The sequence below is a fragment of the Homo sapiens genome, chromosome 12, assembly GCF_000001405.40.
Source record: "Homo sapiens chromosome 12, GRCh38.p14 Primary Assembly".
In the NCBI taxonomy this organism is placed as follows: Eukaryota; Metazoa; Chordata; class Mammalia; order Primates; family Hominidae; genus Homo; species Homo sapiens.
In genome coordinates, this window is record NC_000012.12 from 32,004,654 (window position 1) to 32,024,739 (window position 20,086).

Below are 20,086 nucleotides of genomic sequence, written 5' to 3' on the forward strand. Positions count from 1 at the left end.
TTTTAGCACACATTTTTAGGAGGCTTAGCTACAACTACATTTAATTACAATGACTTGGAGGAGTCCCACTTTTCTGGCCTTCTCATACCAGATGAAATTCCAAAACCCGGGCTGGATGCAGTGGCTCATGCCTGTAATCCCAGCACTTTGGGAGGCCGAGGTGGGCGGATCACCTAAGGTCAGGAGTTCGAGACCAGCCTGGTCAACATGGTAAAACCCCATCTCTACTAAAAATACAAAAAATTAGCCGGGTGTGGTGGCGAGTGCCTGTAATCCCAGCTACTCTGGAGGCTGAGACATGAGAATCGCTTGAACCTGGGAGGCGGAGGTTGCAGTGAGCCGAGATCGCGCCACTACACTCCAGCCTGGGCAACAAGAGCGAAACTCTGTCTCAAAAAAAAAAAAAAAAAAAAAATATATATATATATATATATATATATATGTATGTATATATATGTGTATATATGTATATATGTGCATATATATGTATATATATGTGTAGATATATGTGTATATGTGTATATGTGTATATGTGTATATATGTATATATGTATATATGTGTATATATGTATATATGTGTGTATATATGTATATATATGTGTATATATGTATATATATGTGTATATATGTATATGTGTGTATATATGTATATATATGTGTGTATATATATGTATATATGTGTATATATATGTATATATATGTATATATATGTGTGTATATATATATGTATATATATATATTAGCTGGGCGTGGTGGCAGGCTCCTGTAATCCCAGCTACTCGGGAGGCTGAGGCAGGAGAACGCTTGAACCCAGGAGGCAGAGGTTGCAGTGAGCCGAGATTGCTCCATTGCACTCCAGCCTGGGCAACAAAACAAGACGCCGTCTAAAAAACAAAAAAAATTCCAAAAGCTCCTGTGGACAGAAGGATTCTTCCCCAGCTTTTTTCTGTCTTGGCTTATCTCTGTTGCTGACCTGCTGTCTTAACCACTGCCCTCCAGTTGCCGCATGCCTGTTGATGATAAGAGTGTCCTGGCACATGATCAGTAAGCACCTTCAGGAGGCTGGTGAGGCTTATCGGTCTCAGCCTGCTGCTGCCACGACCCCCTGGACTAGGCCTCAGGCAACCGGAATTTAAGCTTCTGCAACATCTAGAAGCATAAGTTCTCTTCTTCAGTTTCTTCACCTATAAAAAAAACGAGTTTCACTCTACGATTTTTAAAGTTTGTTGTATCATCTAATTCCAAAGGGATTAGGCCTTCAGAAGATGACGTGGAAAGTTCAAAAGAAATTAAAAATCATCTAAAATCCCATCCATTAGCAGTAACAATGATTAATATCTGGCTATATGTCAAATAGCTCGTGTCTAGGGCCCATTCCAAAGCTCTAAGTTTCTTCTCACGGATGCAGTGGACATTTGTGTAAGTTTACTTCACTTCAGTTACACTGGCCTTTTTTGCAGCCCTCAAGTGTTCTCCTTCTTTTTTTTTTTTTTTTGAGATGGAGTCTCACTCTGTCGCCACGCTGGAGTGCAATGGCACGATCTCAGCTCACTGCAACCTCTGCCTCCCGGGTTCAAGCGATTCTCCGACCTCAGCCTCCTGAGTAGCTGGGATTACAGGCACGCATTCATCATGCTTAGCTAATTTTGTATTTTTAGTAGAGACGGGGTTTCACCATGTTGGTCAGGCTGGTCTCGAACTCCCGACCTCAGGTGATTCGCCCACCTCGCCTCCCAAAGTGCTGGGATTACAGGTGTCGGCCACTGTATCTGGCCCTCAAATGTTCTAAGCAGACTCTACCTCGAGGCCTTTGCACAGACTTATCTGTCTGTCTGGAACAATATCTGCCTAGATAGCTACATAGACACTCCCTTCATACAGGCCCCAAATGTCATTTTTCAGAGATACCTTCTCTGGCCACCTGATACAGGTTACACCCGCATCCTTGGGCTGATTTATTTTTTCTCACAGTGTCTAACACAATCCTCAGTGGAGGATTAATAAGTTTATTTGTTTATTGTTCTCTCCTACTAGAATTTAAATTTAAATCTATGAGGACAGGAACTTTGTTTTTTTGTTTGTTTGTTTGTTTGAGATGGTGTCTTGCTCTGTCGCCCAGGCTGGAGTGCAGTGGTGCGATCTCCTCTCACTGCAAGCTCCACCTCCCGGGTTCAAGCCATTCTCCTGCCTCAGCCTCCCCAGTAGCTGGGACTACATGCGCCCGCCACCACGCCCGGCTAATTTTTTTGTATTTTTAGTAGAGACGGGGTTTCACTGTGTTAGCCAGGATGGTCTCGATCTCCTGACCTTGTGATCCCCCCGCCTTGGCCTCCCAAAGTGCTGGGATTACAGGCTGAGCCACCGCACCCGGCCGGAACTTTGTTTTTTTTTTTCCAAGTGGCTACTTTTATTTATTTGAAAAAAACAAGCCCCAGAGCTGCCAAGGGGCTGCCTTCTCTGTCTTGTGGAGACAGTGCTTGATCCTGGAGAGCAGCCATGTTGAGAAAAAGATATTTTGAGCCCTAAAATAATGAGAAAACAGGACAGAGAGAGGTGTTCTGAGCCAGTTCCAGATTTTGCCAACTGTTGCAAGAACTCTAGAATCTTTATGTTAGTAAAATGCCAAAAATAAAAGTCTGCATTGAAAGAACGTCTAACCACTTACTATAATCCAACCTTTTAGGAAGAATGCAAAATGGCATACATGAAGAAGAGTGAAGAATCCAGAAAAACTGGAATTCCTACAAAGAAAAGTCTATAGAAACGTCCCAAAAGCAAGTAAGCAAACAGATAACACTCAGGACCTCTCATATTCATGGAAGTCATTTATAGTATAAATCCCCTTAAATAATGGACTCAGGAGGCCGGGTGTGGTGGCTCACACCTGTAATCCCAGCACTTTGGGAGGCCGAGGCGGGCGGATCACAAGGTCAGGAGATCAAGACCATCCTGGCTAACATATTGAGAAGGAGTCTTTCTCCTTCACCCAGACTGGAGTGCAGTGGCACCATCTCAGTTCACTGCAACCTTCACATCCCAGGTTTAAGTGATTCTTATGCCTCAGCCTCCCAAATAGCTGGGATTACAGACATGCACCACCACGCCCAGCTAATTTTTGTGTTTTTAGTAGAGATGAGGTTTCGCCATGTTGTCCAGGCTGGTCTTGAACTCCTGGCCTCAAGTGATCCGCCCACCTCAGCCTCCCAAAGTGCTGGGATTACAGGCATGAGCCACCGCGCCTGGCCTGCTCTGTAACTTTAACTCCTGGTGTATTCCTTGAGGTCTGTTGAAGTCTGGATCACAGACCATTGTGGGAGGTGGCAACTTTCTAATGCATTAATTAGATTGAAAGATTTGAAAGAAAAAGTTTACATTTTTTTTTCCTGGGATTACATCAAATTAAATAACCTCTGCACAACAAAGGAAACAATCGACAAAATGAAAAGGCAACCTATGGAATAGGAGAAATATTTACAATCTGTATATCTGATAAGGGGTTAATATCTCAAAATTTTTTTTCTTTTTTCTTTATTTTTCTTTTATGTCCACTTCCAAGCTCAAATATCTCAAATATTATGTAAGAAACTCACATAGCTCAATGGCAGAAAACCAAATAACCCAACTGAAAAATGAGCAAAGACCTGAATAGTCCTTTTACCAAAGAAGATACACAAATGGCCAACGGGTGTATGAAAAGGTGCTCAACATCATTAATTATCAGGGAAATGCAAATCAAAACTACAATGAGTATCACCTCACACCTGTTAGGATGGCTATTATAAAAAAGGCAGCAGCCAGGTGCAGTGGCTCAGGCCTGTAGTCTTAGCACTTTGGGAGGCTGAGGTGGGTGGGTTGCCTGAGCTCAGGAGTTCGAGACCAGCCTGGGCAACATGGCAAAAACCCGTCTCTACTAAAAATACAAAAAATTAGCTGGGTGTGGTGGCACATGCCTGTGACCCCAGCTAGGAGGCTGAGGCATGAGAATCGTTTGAACCTGGGAGGCAGAGATTGCAGTGAGCCGAGATTGAGCCACTGCACTCTGCGACTCTGTCTCAAAAAAAAAAAAAAAAAAAAAGGCCAGGCACGGTGGCTCATGCCTGTAATCCCAGCACTTTGAGAGGCTGAGGTGGGCGGATCACCGGAGGTCGGGAGTTCGAGACCAACCTGACCAACATGGAGAAACCCCGTCTCTATTAAAAATACAAAATTAGCCGGGTGTGGTGGCACATGCCTGTAATCCCAGCTACTAGGGAGGCTGAGGCAGGAGAATCACTTGAACCCGGGAGGTGGAGGTTGCGGTGAGCCAAGATAGTGCTGTTGCACTCCAACCTGGGCAACAAGAGCGAAACTCCGTCTCAAAAAAAAAAAAAAAAAAAAAAAGTAACTCTGTGATGTAAAGAATATATCAATTAGTTTGGTTGTGGTAATCATTTCACAACGTGTACCAAATTTTGATGTTGTACAGCTTAAATATATATAATTGTTCTCAATTATGCCTTAATAAACCTGGGAAAAATTTTTCCTGAAGGTTTATGAATTTAAAATGAAAACACACACGAGGCCGGGTGTGGTGGCTTACACCTGTAATCCTAGCACTTTGGGAGGCCAAGGTAGGAGGATTGTTTGCGGCCCAGAGTTCAACCAACCTGTCAAATATAGGGAGACCTCATCTCTATTATTTATTTATTTATTTATTTATTTATTTATTTATTTATTTTTATTTTTTATGAGACAGAGTCTTGCTGTGTCGCCCAGGCTGGAGTGCAGTGGCACGATCTCGGCTCACTGCAACCTCCGCCTCCCAGGTTCAAGCGATTCTCCTGCCTCAGCCTCCTGAGTAGCTGGGACTACAGGCGCCCGCCTCCACGCCTGGCTAATTTTTCGTGTTTTTAGTAGAGACGGGGTTTCACCGTGTTAGCCAGGATGGTCTCAAAAGCATGACCTCGTGATCCGCCCGCCTCGGCCTCCCAAAAGTGCTGGGATTACAGCGTGAGCCACCGCTCCCGGCATATTTATTTATTTATTTGAGACGGAGTTTCACACCTGTTGCCCAAAATGGGAGTGCAATGGCGCGATCTCAGCTCACTGCAATCCCCGCCTCCCGGGTTGATGCGATTCTCCTGCCTCAGCCTCCCAAGTAGCTCGGATTACAGGCACATGCCACCACACCTGGCTAATTTTGTATTTTTAGTACAGACAGGGTTTCACAATGTTGGTCAGATGGTCTCAAACTCCTGACCTCAGGTGATCCACCCATCTCGGCCTCCCAAAGTGTTGGGATTACAGGCATGAGCCACCGCCCCCGGCCCTGTATTTTTTATAATTAATAAAATAAAATGAAACGAACAGGAGTATACGTTAGAACAGAATGCAAATCTGCACAAAAAATTTAAGATAAAACTGGGGCATATAAAGACATGTTTTAGCCAAGCATGGTGGCTCACAACTTAAAATCCCAGCACTTTGGGAGGCTGAGGTGGGAGGATTGCTTGAACCCAGGTGTTCCAGACTAGCCTGGGCTACATAGTGGGACGCCCCCCTCCCCCCATCTCTATTTTTTAAAAATAATTTTAAGGCCGGGGGCAGTGGCTTACGCCTGTAATCCCAGCACTTTGGGAGGCCGAGGCAGGCGGATCACGAGGTCAGGAGCTCCAGACCACCATGGCCAACATGGTGAAACCCTGTCTCTACTAAAATACAAAAAATTAGCCAGGCGTAGTGGTGCGCGCCTGTAGTCCCAGCTACTCAGGAGGCTGAAGCAGGAGAATAGCTTGAACCCGGGAGGCGGAGATTGAGCCGAGATCGCACCGCCGCACTCCAGCCTGGCAGCAGAGCGAGACTCAGTCTCAAAAAAAAAAAAAAAAAAAAAAAAAGACAGGTTTTGCCTGGAGTGCACCCTATAATGGTCGAGAGGGAAGCACATTCACTCTTTAAGAAGGAAGGCCCTAAGGAGAAGGCACTTCACTGGGAAAGCTGGAAGATGGGGGTGCTTACAGCAGAGGAGCAGGAGGAAGGAAGAAAGAAAGAGCAAATAACCCGGGCCACAGAAAGCCAAGAGTTTTGGCTGTTGCAGTCCACAGTATTATCTTGTTCCTAGTATTAGCTTGCTCCTAGTTCCACAACATCAACAATGGAGCATGAAAATGTAAACACCTAACCAAATATTTGCACCTTTTGGATGATTTCCCACTTCTAGAAAATGAAAAATATTTGGTTGTTTACAGTCCCCATCCATTTATCTGTTCCCTTCCTTCCAGTTTTTTGCTAAGACAGTGGGACACCCTGGCTGGAGAGCAATATTCAGTTTATAGCTTGATTTTGTTTACCCCTGAGACCAAGGACAATTTTATCTATGTTTTTAAAGGCAGAAGATAGAAATAAAATCTAAATAACTTGTCCTTGAGCCTGACCTAAAGCCTAGACAGTGGAACAGAATTCGGGAGTAAGGAGCCTGGAGAGGGTGGAGTAAGTTTATTCAAATTAATAAATGCTAAATCAGAATTATTTAAAAAATTTAGGCAGATGATTACTCACTCTCCCTGTCTTTGGAATGTTTTAGAGAGGTATTAATGAACAATCTTATTAGCACAGACCAGGACTCTTCTTGATTCAATTGCATGAAATTGAAAAGAATTTAAAGATACTTTCTCATGTGATTTCATGCCTTTTCCTTATACTGATGCCCACATGTTGTGAAACATATAATTCTCGCAACAAGCCTGTATTATAATCCTGTTTTAGATGAAGACAGCTGAGGCCAAGAAGGGTTATATAATTTGCCCAGGCCAGGTGCGGTGGCTCATGCCTGTAATCCTAGCACTTTGGGAGGCTGAAAAGGGTGGATCACTTGAGGCCAGGGGTTGAGACTAGCCTGGGCAACATGGTAAAACTCTGTCTGTACTAAAAATACAAAATAAACAAATTAGCTGGGCGTGATGGCCCGCACCTGTAGCCCCAGTTACTCAGGAGGCTGAGGCAGGAGAATCGCTTGAACCTGGGAGGTGGAGGTTGCAGCGAGCAGAGATCACATCACTGTACTCCAGCCTGGGCAACAGAGCAAGACTCTGGCCACTCCACCCCACCCTCCAACCAAAAAAAATCAAAAATCAAAAAAGAGATAAAAATAATACATAAAATAATTTGCCCAAAGACACATGGATGACAAGTGTCAGAGTCAGGTTATAAACACAGGCAAGAAGATAACACTGCCTCACACTGCTATTTTGTGTATTTTGAAGTTACGAGTAAGAAAGGATGTCTCCTATACTTCATTAACTTTTTTTTTTTTTTTTTTGAGACGGAGTCTCGCTCTGTCACCCAGGCTGGAATACAGTGATGCGATCTCGGCTCACTGTAACCTCTGGCTCCCGGGTTCAAGCGATTCCCCTGCCTCAGCTTCCTGAGTAGCTGGGACTACAGGCGCCTGCCACCACGGCCAGCTAATTTTTTGTATTTTTGGTAGAGATAGGGTTTCACCCTATTAGCCAAGATGGTCTTGATCTCCTGACCTCGTGATCTGCCTGCCTCAGCCTCGCAAAGTGCTGGGATTACGGGCGTGAGCCACCGCGCCCGGCCTTCATTAACTTTTTACTCATTCTTCAGCAATCATACATTGATGAAGGAACTGAAAAGGGGGTAAGAAGGTTGTGTGAAAGGAAAATAAATCTTGGCGTCCCAAAATCACTAAGCTAAAAGGAAAAAAAAAAGTCAAGCTGGGAACTGCTTAGGGCAAACCTGCCTCCCATTCTATTCAAAGTCATCCCTCTGTTCACTGAGATAAATGTGTATCTGATTGCCTCCTTTGGAGAGGCTAGTCAGAAACTCAAAAGAATGCGAACATCTGTCTCTTATCTACCTATAACCTGGAAGCCCCCTTCCCTCTTCTTGTTGTCCCGGTTTTCCTTCTAGTTGTCCCACCTTTCCAGATGGAACCAATGTTCATCTACATATGTTGATTGACATCTCCTGTCTCCCTAAAATGTGTAAAACCAAGTTGTGCTCTGACCACCTTGGGCATATGTCATCAAGACCTCCTGGCTGTGCACCTGTAATCCCAGCACTTTGGGAGGTCCAGATGGCAGATCGCTTGAGGCCAGGAGTTCCAGAACAGCCTGGCCAAGATGATGAAACCCTGTCTCTACTAAAAATACAAAAATTAGCCCAGCATGATGGCTCACGTCTGTAATACCAGCTACTCAGGAGGTTGAAGTAGGAGAATCGCTTGAACTCAGGAGTTCAAGTGGAGGTTGCAGTGAGCTGAGATCATGCCACTGCACTCCAGCCTGGGTGACAGAGTGGAGACTCCTTCTCAAAACAAAACAAACCTTCTGAGGCTGTGTCATGGACACAGGACCTTAACTTCCTAAATTGACTGAGATCTGTCTCAGATTTGGGGGTTCCCAGTTCTAATTCCATATGCTCCCATTCTGAAGTCTCCCTAAAAAATGTTTCTTCTCGTTTGAAGATGGCTTTTGATTATTTTATTTTTCTCACTTGTAAGACAACTTACTCTTGATGTTAAAAACATCTTACTCGGCCATACACAGTGGCTCACGCCTGTAATCCCAGCACGTTGGGAGGCCAAGGTGGGTGGATCACCTGAGGTCAGGAGTTCGAGACCAGCCTGGCCAACATAGTGAAATCTCATCTCTACTAAAAATACAACAATTAGCTGGGCATGGTGGCACGCACCTGTAGACCCAGTTACTCGGCAGGCTGAGGCAGGAGAACTGCTTGAACCCGGGAGGCGGAGGTTGCAGTGAGCCAAGATTGCGCCATTTCACTCCAGCCTGGGCAACAAGAAAACTCAAAAAAGAAAAAAAATCTTACTCATCTTGTAGGGAGGGAAAGAACCCTTTTTCTTCTGCCCTCCTGGGGTGGGGGCTGCAAATTAAACTGAAAAAAACCAGATTGACATGTAAACATGTGGAAACTCAGTGATAAACAATGCCATCAAAGGAGTGGTTAGAATTTGGGTTTAACAAAAGAATAAGAAATTTGTAAAGAAGTGAGGAGACAAAGGTGAAGGTTTCAGGCTTCCAGGGGTAGCAAACTGGGAAGAAACAAATGGAAGATCAGGGTTGTTTTAGTAAGGTTTCTTATGCAGATTCTTCTCAGTCTTCCTGGACAGAGTCTAGAGTTTTCACCAGTGATTATCAATCTAAGTCTGTTTTTAAGCAAATGAAGGAAAGAGTAGGCCTTGCCTGCCTGCTTGTCTGTCTGTCTTTCTTTCTTTTCCTTCTTTCTTTCTTTCTTTTCTTTCTTTTTCTTTCTTTCTCTTTTCTTCCTTTCTTCCTTTCTCTTTCTTTTCTTTCTTTCTTTCTTTCCTCTTTCTTCTTTCCTTCTTTTCCCTCCCTCCCTCCCTCCCTTCCTTCGTTCCTTCCTTCCTTCCTTCCTTCTCTCTTTCTCTCTTTCTTTGCATCTGCTGTTCCTGAATCATCTTCAGCTCAAAACAGTCCTTATTTAGGGGTGGCATATTCTGATCCCCTACAATATAATTTAACAGAAACTGTATAATCAGAGAAACTGTATAATCAGAACCATTTCTTCTGGACAGTATTATAAACTAACTGCAAAAAGTAAAAACAGAAATTATTTCATTTTGTTTTGAACATTCAGAATATAGTGTTCTAGCAGGGATTATGTCCATGAGCAAATCAGTAAATAATTTGGAGCTGTGATAAAAATGATAAAAATGTCTCTCTTCCTCAAAAAAAAAAAAAAGGTTAAGAATTAAAAGGCAGGCCGGGGGTGAGCCGCAGCTCATACCTGTAATCTCAGCACTTTGGAAGGCCAAGGTGAGAGGATCATTTGAACCCAGGAGTTTGGGATCAGCCTGGGCAAAATAGTGAGACCCTGTGTCTTCTAAAAATATATATTGTAGGCCGGGCACGGTGGCTCATGCCTGTAATCCCAGCACTTTGGGAGGCCGAGGCGTGTGGATCACTTGAGGTAAGGAGTTCGAGACCAGCCTGACCAATATGGAGAAACCCCGTCTCTACTAAAAATACAAAAATTGGCCGGGCATGGTGGCTTGCGCCTTTAATCCCAGCTACTTCGGAGACTGAGGTGGAAGAATCACTTGAACCTGGGAGGCAGAAGTTGCAATGAGCCAAGATCGTGGCATTGTACTCCAGCCTGGGCAACAGAGTGAGACTCCATCTCAAAAACAAAAACAAAAACAAAACAGACACACACACACACACACACACACACACACACACACACACATATATACTAAATAAATTAAAAGAAAAAAAGAATTGAAAGGCAATCTCCATCTCACATAGAGGACTGGGCCTTGATGTATAAAGAACATGAGGAACAATGCACATGTCCATCAGCTGGTGAGCAAATAAACAAAAGGTGGAAAATGTATGCATTGGAATATTATTCAACAATGAAAAGAAATGAAGTACTTATACAACCTGGGCGAACCTTGAAAACATTAATTATGGTAAATGAAAAAAGCAGTCACAAAGTGTTACATATTGTCTGATTCCATTTATATGAAATGCCCAGAATAGGCAAGTCTATAGACCCAGAAAGTAGATTTGCGGTTTCCTAGCGCTTAGGGCAGGAAGGGTTGGTGAAAGGATTGGGGGTGACAGCCAAAGAGTATGTGGTTTCTTTTGGAGATGATAAAAATAGTCTAAAATTGACTGTGATGATGGATGCACAATTCTATGAATACACTAAAAACCATTGAATTGTATGCTTTAAATGGACGAATTGAATGATTCTGAATCCTATCTCAATAAAGCTGTTAAAAAAAAGGTTTTATGGGCCGGGCATGGTGGCTCATGCCTGTAATCCCAGCACTTTGGGAGGCCGAGGCAGGTGGATCACGAGGTCAGGAGATCAAGACCATCCTCGCTAACACAGTGAAACCCTGTCTTTATGAAAAATACAAAAAATTAGCTGGGCATGGTGGCAGGCGCCTGTAGTCCCAGCTACTCGGGAGGCTGAGGCAGGAGAATGGCGTGAAGCTGGGAGGCAGAGCTTGCAGCGAGCCAAGATCATGCCACTGCACTCCAGCCTGGGCGACAGAGCAAGACTCCGTCTCAAAAAAAAAAAAAAAAAGGTTTTATGGCTGGGCTTGGTGGCTCACACCTGTAATCCCAGCACTTTTGGAGGCTGAGGTGGGAAGATTGCTTGAGCCCAGAAGTTTAAGACCAAACAAAACAACAAAACCAAAAAAGCCAGACCCAGTGGTGCCCAAGTGCCTGTAGTCTCAGTGACTCAGGAGGCTGAGGTGGGAAGATCACTTGAGCTCAGGAGATGGAAGCTGCAGGGAGCTGTGAGGGCACCACTGCACTCCAGCCTGGATGACACAGAGAGATCCTGTCCCCAAGAAAAAAAAGTTTCGTATAATTTAGGTAATTGTTAGTAAGAGTGAAATGACATTTGTTGGTGTTAACTATCAAATCTGAAAGAAGATCAGAAAATTAAACTGTTGATCAAGTAAAGCTGAGTTTAGATTCACGGCAGCAAGGGAGAATACCACCTTAACAGAATCTTAGTTGTGTCTCAGAAGAGGGAACTGTGTCTGCACACACACACTTACACATAGGCTAAAAAACTGTGACTAGGCCAGGCGTGGTGGCTCACACCTGTAATCCCAGCACTTTAGGAGGCTGAGGCAGGTGGATCATGAGGTCAGGAGTTCGAGACCATCCTGGCTAACACGGTGAAACCCCATCTCCACTAAAAATACGAAAACTTAGCCGGGCGTGGTGGTGGGCATCTGTGGGCCCAGCTACTTGGGAGGCTGAGGCAGGAGAATCACTTGAACCTGGGAGGCGGAGGTTTCAGTGAGCCGAGATTGTGCCACTGCACTCCAGCCTGGGCAACAGAGCGAGACTCTTGTCTCAAAAAAAAGGAAAAACTGTGACTAGTTCTTGTTTATACGATTGGGGCAAAGAAGTTTCTCCCTCGCCTTTGGGAAGTTTGCTGAAAAATCACCTAATAATAAGGCAGATTGAGAGGAAAAGCATACAAATTAACTTGACCATGCACATGGAGAAAACCAGTGTGATTGCTCAATATCCCAATAGGACACAAATAATAATAATAATTATTATTATTTTTAATTTTTTGAGACAGAGTCTCACTCTCTTGGCCAGGTTGGAGTGCAGTGGCACAATCCCAGCTCACCACAACCTCCGCCTCCCAGGTTTAAGCAATTCTCCTGTCTCAGCCTCCAGAGTAGCTGGGATTACAGGCGCCCGACACCACACCCAGCTAATTTTTATATTTTTAGCAGAGATAGGGTTTCACCATGTTGGCCAGGCTGGTCTCCAATGCCTGACCTCAAGTGATCTGCCCACCTGGACCTCCCAAAGTGTTGGAATTACAGGCACTAGCCTCAGCACCTGGCCCCAAACACTTATATAACCTCTTTTCAGAGGGGTGGGGGAGATGGGGAATATAGGTAGTTCAGTAGAGGGGCATTAAGTGATGATTTAGGTGAATAAATGGATGGGGGAACACAGATTGACTTGCAAATAGTTTTCTTTGGAAGTTAAATGAACCTGAGAGACAGACATTATTTTGCAAAAGGATTGGGCCTGCTCTGGTTACCTTCCTCACCTTCTTTCCTGCAATAGATAATGAGATAACAGGGAAGGGAAGAAAAAGCAATTGTTCTCTTGGGGGCTCTGGGTCTTTATGTAGATTGGGGAAAAATCTCTTCCAAGGCCTGATAATCTCTAAGAGTTTTTATTTTATTTATTTATTTATTATTTATTTTATTTATTTATTTATTTATTTATTTATTTATTTATTTATTTATTTTCAGACAGGGTCTCACTCTGTTTGTTGCCCAGGATGGAGTGTACTGGCTCCCTTGAGGCTCATTGCAGCCTCCACCTCCTGGATCAAAGGATCTTCCCACCTCAGCTTCCCGAGCAGCTGGGATAACAGGTACACATCACCATGCTCGGCTAATTTTTGTATTTTTTTGGAGAGACGGCATTTCATCAAGTTTCCCAGGCTAGTCTTGAACTCCTGGGCTCAAGCAATCTGCATGCCTTGGCCTCCCAAAGTGCTGGGATTACAGGCATGAGCCACCAGGCCCAGATTATTTATTTATTTATTTATTTATTTATTTATTATTTTTATTTTTTGAGACGGAGTTTTGCTCTTCTCACCCAGGCTGGAGTGCAATGACGGGGTCTCTGCTCACTGCAACCTCCGCCTCCTGAGTTCAAGCGATTCTCCTGCCTCAGCTTCCCGCGTAGCTGGGATTACAGGTGCCCACCACCACGCCCAGCTAAGTTTTGTATTTTTAGTAGAGACAGGGTTTCTCCATGTTGGCCAGGCTGGTCTTGAACTCCTGACCTTAGGTGATCTGCCTGCCTTGGCCTCCCAAAGTGCTGGGATTACAGGCGTGAGCCACCATGCCTGGCCACCAGGCTCAGTTTCTAAGAATTTTTTGTTTGTTTGTTTGTTTGTTTTGAGACAGGGTTTCACTTCTGTCATCCAGGCTGGAGTGCAGTGGCGCGATCTCGGCTCATTGCAACCTCCAGCTCTCAGGCGGCTCATTGCAACCTCCAGCTCTCAGGCTCAAGCGATTCTCCTACCTTAGCCTCCCAAGTAACTGGGACTACAGGCGCACACCACTGCACACAGCTAATTTTTGTATTTTTATTTTTATTTTATTTTATTTTATTTTATTTTATTTTATTTTTCTGAGATTGAGTCTCTCTGTGTCACCCAGGCTGGAGTGCAGCAGCGCGATCTCAGCTCACTGCAAGCTCCGCCTCCCAGGTTCATGCCATTCTCCTGCCTCAGCCTCCTGAGTAGCTGGGACTACAGGCGCCCACCACCACACCCGGCTATTTTTTTGTATTTTTAGTAGAGATGCGGTTTCACCATGTTAGCCAGGTCTCTATCTCCTGACCTCGTGATCTGCCCGCCTCGGCCTCCCAAAGTGCTGGGATTACAGGTGTGAGCCACTGTGCCCGGCCTTTTGTATTTTTAGTAAAGATGGGGTTTCGCCATGTTGGCCAGGCTGGTCTTGAACTGACCTCAAGCGATCTTCCCACCTTGGCCTCCCAAAGTACTGGGATTACAGGCATGAGCCACCATTCACAGAAGAGTGTTTAATTCAAAATATTCATTATACAAGGGAGTCATATTTTGGGGTGAAATTTCCTTTTCTCCTTCAATACAATAATTAAAAGAAGGAATACTGTTGTTACTTTTATGGTTTAGTCAATTTACATTTTCAGTGGGTTACTGTGTAATTCAATAAAATTATTAATCCTTAAAATACATTTGTTGGCCGGACGCTGTGGCTTATACCTGTAATCCCAGCACTCTGGGAGGCCGAGGCGGGTGGATCACCTGAGGTCGGGAGTTTGAGACCAGCCTGGCCAACATAAAGTGAAACCCCATCTCTACTAAAAGTAAAAAATTAGCCAGGCTCAGTGAAGTGGGCCTATAGTCCCAGCTACTCGGGAGGCTGAGGCAGAAGAATCGCTTGAACCTCCTGAAAAGCGGAGGTTGCGGTGAGCCAGGATTATGCCACTGCAATTCAGCGTGGTCCAGAGTGAGACAACGTCTCAAAAAAAAAAAAAAAAAGTCAACTGTATTAGGTATTATAAGTAATCCAGAGAGGATTTAAAGTATATAGGAGGATGTGCATAGGTTATATGCAAATACTACACCATCTTATATAAGAGATTTGAGCACTCACAGATTTTGTTATTCAAGGAGGTGCTGGAACCAATCTCCCACAGATACATAGGGAACGACGATGTTCTGGCTTTGTTATAGTTCACGCATCTATCTTCCCGTTTATTCAACTCAAAAATTATTAGACATCTTTTGTGTACCTACCTCTGTGTTAGAGCAGGGCATACAGCAGCAAATAAGATAATGTCCCTGGTTTTAGATAAGTTAAAATTTAGCAGGAAAAACAGGTATTATATTTTACAAATTAAATCTCATATTTTTAAGCATATTTTAACAAGAAAAAAATTCTCTGTGAATTCCATTGTAACGTTTTACATATAAAACTCTCCCTCTTAAGTCTCTAAACTTTTTTTTTTTTTTTTGAGACGGAGTCTCGCTCTGTTGCCCAGGCTGGAGTGCAGTGGTGCGATCTCAGCTCACCGCAACCTCCGCCCCTCCAGGTTTAAGCAATTCTCCTCCTCAGCATCTAGAGTAGCTGGGATTACAGGCGTGTGCCACCACGCCCAGCTAATTTTTTTTGTATTTTTAATAGAGACGGGGTTTCACCATCTTGGCCAGGCTCATCTTGAACTCCTGACCTCGTGATCCACCCGCCTCGGCCTCCCAAAGTGCTGGGATTACAGGCGTGAGCCACTGCGCCCGGCCTTAAGTCTCTAAATTTTTAAAAAATGCATTTAATACTAAGGTCTCAAACAGTTTTCTAGACATGTAAATCAAAAACCCGTTTAATTAATTAAGATCCTGGGGGGAAAAAAAGGTTACTTGCTGAACAAAATGAAGTTTACTTATAGGAAATAGCACTATAGGAAAGTAGACAGCATTTTTCAGGAGTTGTCCATGAATGTATCTTTTTTTTTTTGTAATTTAAAAAAATACAAAAAAGTACGTAGAATAATAAAACACACCTGCTGGAGAAATGGAACTAAAAACAAAATCTCCAATAAGTCTTTCCACAAAGATAGTAGAAAAATAATTTTATTATTGAATAAGCATTAAATCAAAATGTGATATTCACCACAGGCAATCCACTAAGAGATTACAAAACAGAATGTAATCTGTTTTGTAAAAGTCTCCCTTTTATGTAGCTAAGCAGACACAACCCTTAACATAGATGTTCTTGAGATAAGCTGCAAGTCCTAAGTAAGCTGACCTGACAGCACTATTTGTAACAAATAGTTCATTCTAAATTCACCTGGTAATTAAGGGTGACCATCTGTGGTAATTGGTAAAGTTAGCTGAAAGGGGTCCTGATTCAGACCCCAAGAAAGGGTTCTTAGCTCTCGCACAAGAAAGAATTCGGGATGAGTCCATAGGGTAAAGTGAAAGCAAGTTTATTAAGAAAGTAGGCCAGGCACAGTGGCTTACGCCTGTAACCTCACAACTTTGGGAGGCTGAGGCCAGCGGATACGAGGTCAGGAGTTCGAGGCTAGCCTGGCCAACATGGTGAAACCCTGTCTCTATTAAAATAACAAAGATTGGCCCAGCCTGGTGGTGTGTGCCTATAATCAATCCCAGCTAATTCCAGGAGGCTGAGGCAGGAGAATTGCTTGAACCCGAAAGGCAGAGGTTGCAGTGAGCCGAGATCACACCATTGCACTCCAGCCTTGGCAATAGAGTGAGACTCTGCCTCAAAACAAAACAAAACAACAAAAAAAGAAAGTAATAAAGAATGGCTACCCCATAGGCAGAGCAGTAGCATGGGCCACTCAGCCACTTAAACTTATTGTTACTTCTTGATTATCTGGTAAACCAGAAGTGGATTATTCATGAGTTTTCTGGGAAAGGGGTGGGTAATTCCCAGAACTGAGGGTTCCTCTCCTTTTTAGACCATGCTGGGTAACTTCCTGATGTTGCCATAGCATCTGTAAACTGTCATGGCGCTACTGGGGCTGTCTTTTAGCATGCTAATATATTATAATTAGTGTATAGTGAACAGTGAGGATGCCCTGAGGTCACTCTCATTGCCCTCTTGGTTTTGCTAGGTTTTAGCCGGCTTCTTTACTGCAAACTGTTTTATCAACAACCTGTTCTATGGTCTGTATCTTGTGCTGACCTCCTATCTCATCCTGTGATTTAGAATGCCTTAACCTCCTGGGAATGCATCCCAGCAGGTCTCAGCCTCATTTTACTTAGCCCCTATTCAAGATGGAGTCACTCTGGTTCATACGCCTCTGACAGTGTTACATAAAGGAAAAATAAACTTCTCCTATCTGTATGGGTTTTTTTTGTTGTTGTTTGTGTTTGGTTTTTTGTTTTGTTTTGTTTTTGTTTTTAAGACAGGGTCTCACTCTCACTCAGACTGGAGTACAGTGGCATGATTACAGCTCACTGCAGCCTTGACCTCCTGGGTTCAGGTAATCCTTCCATCTCAGCATCCCAAGTAGCTAGGACTACAGGGGCGCATCACCATGCCCAGCTAATTTTGTATTTTTCATTTTTGTACAGACGAGGTCTTGCTATGTTGCCCAGGCTAGTCTTGAACTCCTGAATGAAAGTGATCCTCCTGCTTTGGCCTCCCAAAATGCTGGGATTATAGCTGTGAGTCATTGCGCCAGGCCAACTTCTCATACCTTTGTGAGAGGAGGTAGTTTGGCAATTTGGAGCAACATTCTCACCAACGTTAGGCTCCTGCCTCCCACGGGAACTGGTGCTGTAGGAGTTATTAAGAAATTATTTTAGGTATATAGAGAAGAAAAGGGGTCCTTGGGAAGTTTTCGGGTTTTTTTGTTTGTTTGTTTTGTTTTGTTTTGAGAGGGAGTCTCGCTCTGTCGCCCAGGCTGGAGTGCAGTGGCGCTATCTCGGCTCACTGCAAGCTCTGCCTCTCGGGTTCACGCCATTCTCCTGCCTCACTCAGCCTCCCGAGTAGCTGGGACTACAGGCACCCGCCACCACACCCGGCTAATTTTTTGTTTTTGTTTTTTTTTTTTTTTTTTTTTTTAGTAGAGACGGGGTTTCACCGTGTTAGCCAGGATGGTCTCGATCTTCTGACCTCGTGATCTGCCCGCCTGGGCCTCCCAAAGTGCTGGGATTACAGGCGTGAGCCACCGCACCCAGCTGGGAAGTTTTCTTTAAAGCATCTTCGGAAAAGTTTCTTGTATAGCCCCGGCTCTTAGAGCCAGGCTGGCAACCTTTGATATGTAAATGCAAGCCATTAGAAACTAGGTCCACCCAAACATGGTGATTCCCCTGCCTTCTTGCCCTTTCCCCACAAGTTCCTGGCAACATGGCCGCCCCCATGTATTCCCACGTGTGTTAGAACATCATGGTGCCCCGCTTTTGCATATTAAAAGGCTATGGTGGGAGGGCCAGCTTTTTCGCAGATATGTGAATGACATGCCTAGTCAAACCAATCCCCTGAGCCCTATGCAATTCAGACACCGCCTCCTCCAGCCTCTGTGTACATATATCTAGCTGGTATCTGTGGCAGGTCGGGGTTCCCCTCTCTCAGCTTTGGAGCCCCCCTCCCTCTGTCTCTTTACAGGGGAGCTTGTTCCTCCTCCCTTCCTTCTTGCCTCTTCTTGCCTATTAAGCTCTCAAGCTCTCCACTCCTTAAAACCACTCCACGTGTGTCTGTGTCGTTTTATCTAAACTGGCACGAGGACCAAGAACCCTGGTGTTCCTCCACTCATCGGAGCTGTATCACTGGTAGATAGGAGCACTGCCATTTTTGATGCTTACATTTCAAAGAGATCTCAAGTCCTTGAGAAAGACATTCCTGGGTTTTACACATTTACAAGAGGCTTTTAGAAAGATTTATATACATCTGGGGCCAGGCGCGTTGGCTTATGCCTGTAATCCCAGCACTTTGGGAGGCCGAGGCGGTTGGATCACGATGTCAGGAGATGGAGACCATCTTGGCCAACATGGTGAAACCCCATCTCTACTAAAATACAAAAAATTAGCCAGATGTGGTGGCGCGTGCCTGTAATCCCAGCTACCTGGGAGGCTGAGGCAAGTGAATCACTTGAACCCCGGAGGCGGAAGTTGCAGTGAGCTGAGATAGCACCACTGTACTCCAGCCTGGGCAACAGAGCAAGACTCCATCTCAAAAAAAAGAAAAGAAAAGAAAAGAAAGATTTATATACATCTCACAGGGGCAGAGAGAATTTACAATGACAAATCCTCTAAAGAAAATGCTTTAAGAAAAGGGAAAGAATAGTCTTTTCCCTAATTTTTTCTTTTTGCTTTTGTTTGTTTGTTTAGAGACGGGGTTTTGCTATTGTAAACCAAAAGGTATCTGAGACAGGTCTTAATCAGCTTAGTTTATTTTGCCAAGGTTAAGGATGTGCCTGTGACACAGCTTCAGGAGGTCCTAACGACATGTGCCCAAGGTGGTCGGTGTGCAACTTGCTTGTATACATTTTAGGGAGACATGAGACATTAATCAATATGTGTAAGATGTGCATTGGTTCGTTCTGGTAACGCGGGATAACTTGAGGCAAGGGCTTCCAGGTCCCACATAGGTAAGAGACAAAAGGTTGCATTCTTTTAAATCCTTGATCATCTTTCCACTGAATACACAATTTAGGCTGGCTCAGTGAATCTGCATTTTTACATAAACAATAGGGCAGGGGAAGCAATCAGATATGCATTTGTCTCAGGTGAGCCTCCTCAGAGGGATGACTGAGTTCTGTCTGTCCCTTGTCCACAAGGAATTTCCTTCTGGGCAAATTGTGAGGGAGGTATGTAGCTTTTTTTTGAGACGGAGTCTTGCTTATTCGCCAGGCTGAAGTGCAGTGGCGCCATCTCGGCTCACTGCAATCTCCGCATACCAGGTTCAAGCGATTCTCCTGCCTCAGCCTCCTGAATAACTGGGATTACAGTCACGCACCACCACGCCCAGCTAATTTTTATATTTTTAGTGGAGACAGGGTTTCACCATGTTGGCCAGGATGGTCTCGATCTCTTGACCTCATGATCTACTCGCCTTGGCTTTCCAAAGTGCTGGAATTACTGGCTTGAGCCACCACGCCCAGCGGTGTGTAGCTTTTTATCTTTTTTTTTTTTGAGATGGAGCCTTGCTCTGTTGCCCAGGCTGGAGTGCAGTATGCGATCTCAGCACTTTGGGGCGGGGGCAAGATGAACAGATCGCTTGAGTTCAAGAGTTCAAGACCAGCCTGGGCAACATGTCTAAACCCCATCTCCACAAAAAAATATAAAAATTAGCTGGGCGTAGTGGTACCCGCCTGTAGTCCCAGCTACTCAGGAGGCTGAGGTGGGAGGATCAGTTGAGCCAGGGAGGCAGAGGTTGCAATGAGCTGAGATTGCATCACTGCACTCCAGCCTGTGTGACAGAGTGAGACCCTGTCTCAAAAAAAAAAAAAAACTTAAAATCTTTTTTTTAATTCTCTCAATTTCAATCTCACTTACTTCTTCTTTCAAAGCC

General features: G+C 44.3%; 5 annotated features.

Moving 5' to 3' along the window:
• Positions 8,565-9,290: an enhancer, noted in NCBI's record as "OCT4-NANOG-H3K27ac hESC enhancer chr12:32166152-32166877 (GRCh37/hg19 assembly coordinates)". NCBI's record gives its function as "activates a minimal SCP1, AML or CMV promoter by ChIP-STARR-seq in primed H9 embryonic stem cells {active_cell/tissue: H9 hESC(primed)}" and the evidence as "EXISTENCE:reporter gene assay evidence [ECO:0000049][PMID:30033119]".
• Positions 11,522-12,517: an enhancer, noted in NCBI's record as "OCT4-NANOG-H3K27ac-H3K4me1 hESC enhancer chr12:32169109-32170104 (GRCh37/hg19 assembly coordinates)". NCBI's record gives its function as "activates a minimal SCP1, AML or CMV promoter by ChIP-STARR-seq in naive H9 embryonic stem cells {active_cell/tissue: H9 hESC(naive)}" and the evidence as "EXISTENCE:reporter gene assay evidence [ECO:0000049][PMID:30033119]".
• Positions 12,518-13,514: an enhancer, noted in NCBI's record as "OCT4-NANOG-H3K27ac-H3K4me1 hESC enhancer chr12:32170105-32171101 (GRCh37/hg19 assembly coordinates)". NCBI's record gives its function as "activates a minimal SCP1, AML or CMV promoter by ChIP-STARR-seq in naive H9 embryonic stem cells {active_cell/tissue: H9 hESC(naive)}" and the evidence as "EXISTENCE:reporter gene assay evidence [ECO:0000049][PMID:30033119]".
• Positions 17,054-17,727: an enhancer, noted in NCBI's record as "OCT4-NANOG-H3K27ac hESC enhancer chr12:32174641-32175314 (GRCh37/hg19 assembly coordinates)". NCBI's record gives its function as "activates a minimal SCP1, AML or CMV promoter by ChIP-STARR-seq in naive H9 embryonic stem cells {active_cell/tissue: H9 hESC(naive)}" and the evidence as "EXISTENCE:reporter gene assay evidence [ECO:0000049][PMID:30033119]".
• Positions 18,402-19,075: an enhancer, noted in NCBI's record as "H3K27ac hESC enhancer chr12:32175989-32176662 (GRCh37/hg19 assembly coordinates)". NCBI's record gives its function as "activates a minimal SCP1, AML or CMV promoter by ChIP-STARR-seq in naive H9 embryonic stem cells {active_cell/tissue: H9 hESC(naive)}" and the evidence as "EXISTENCE:reporter gene assay evidence [ECO:0000049][PMID:30033119]".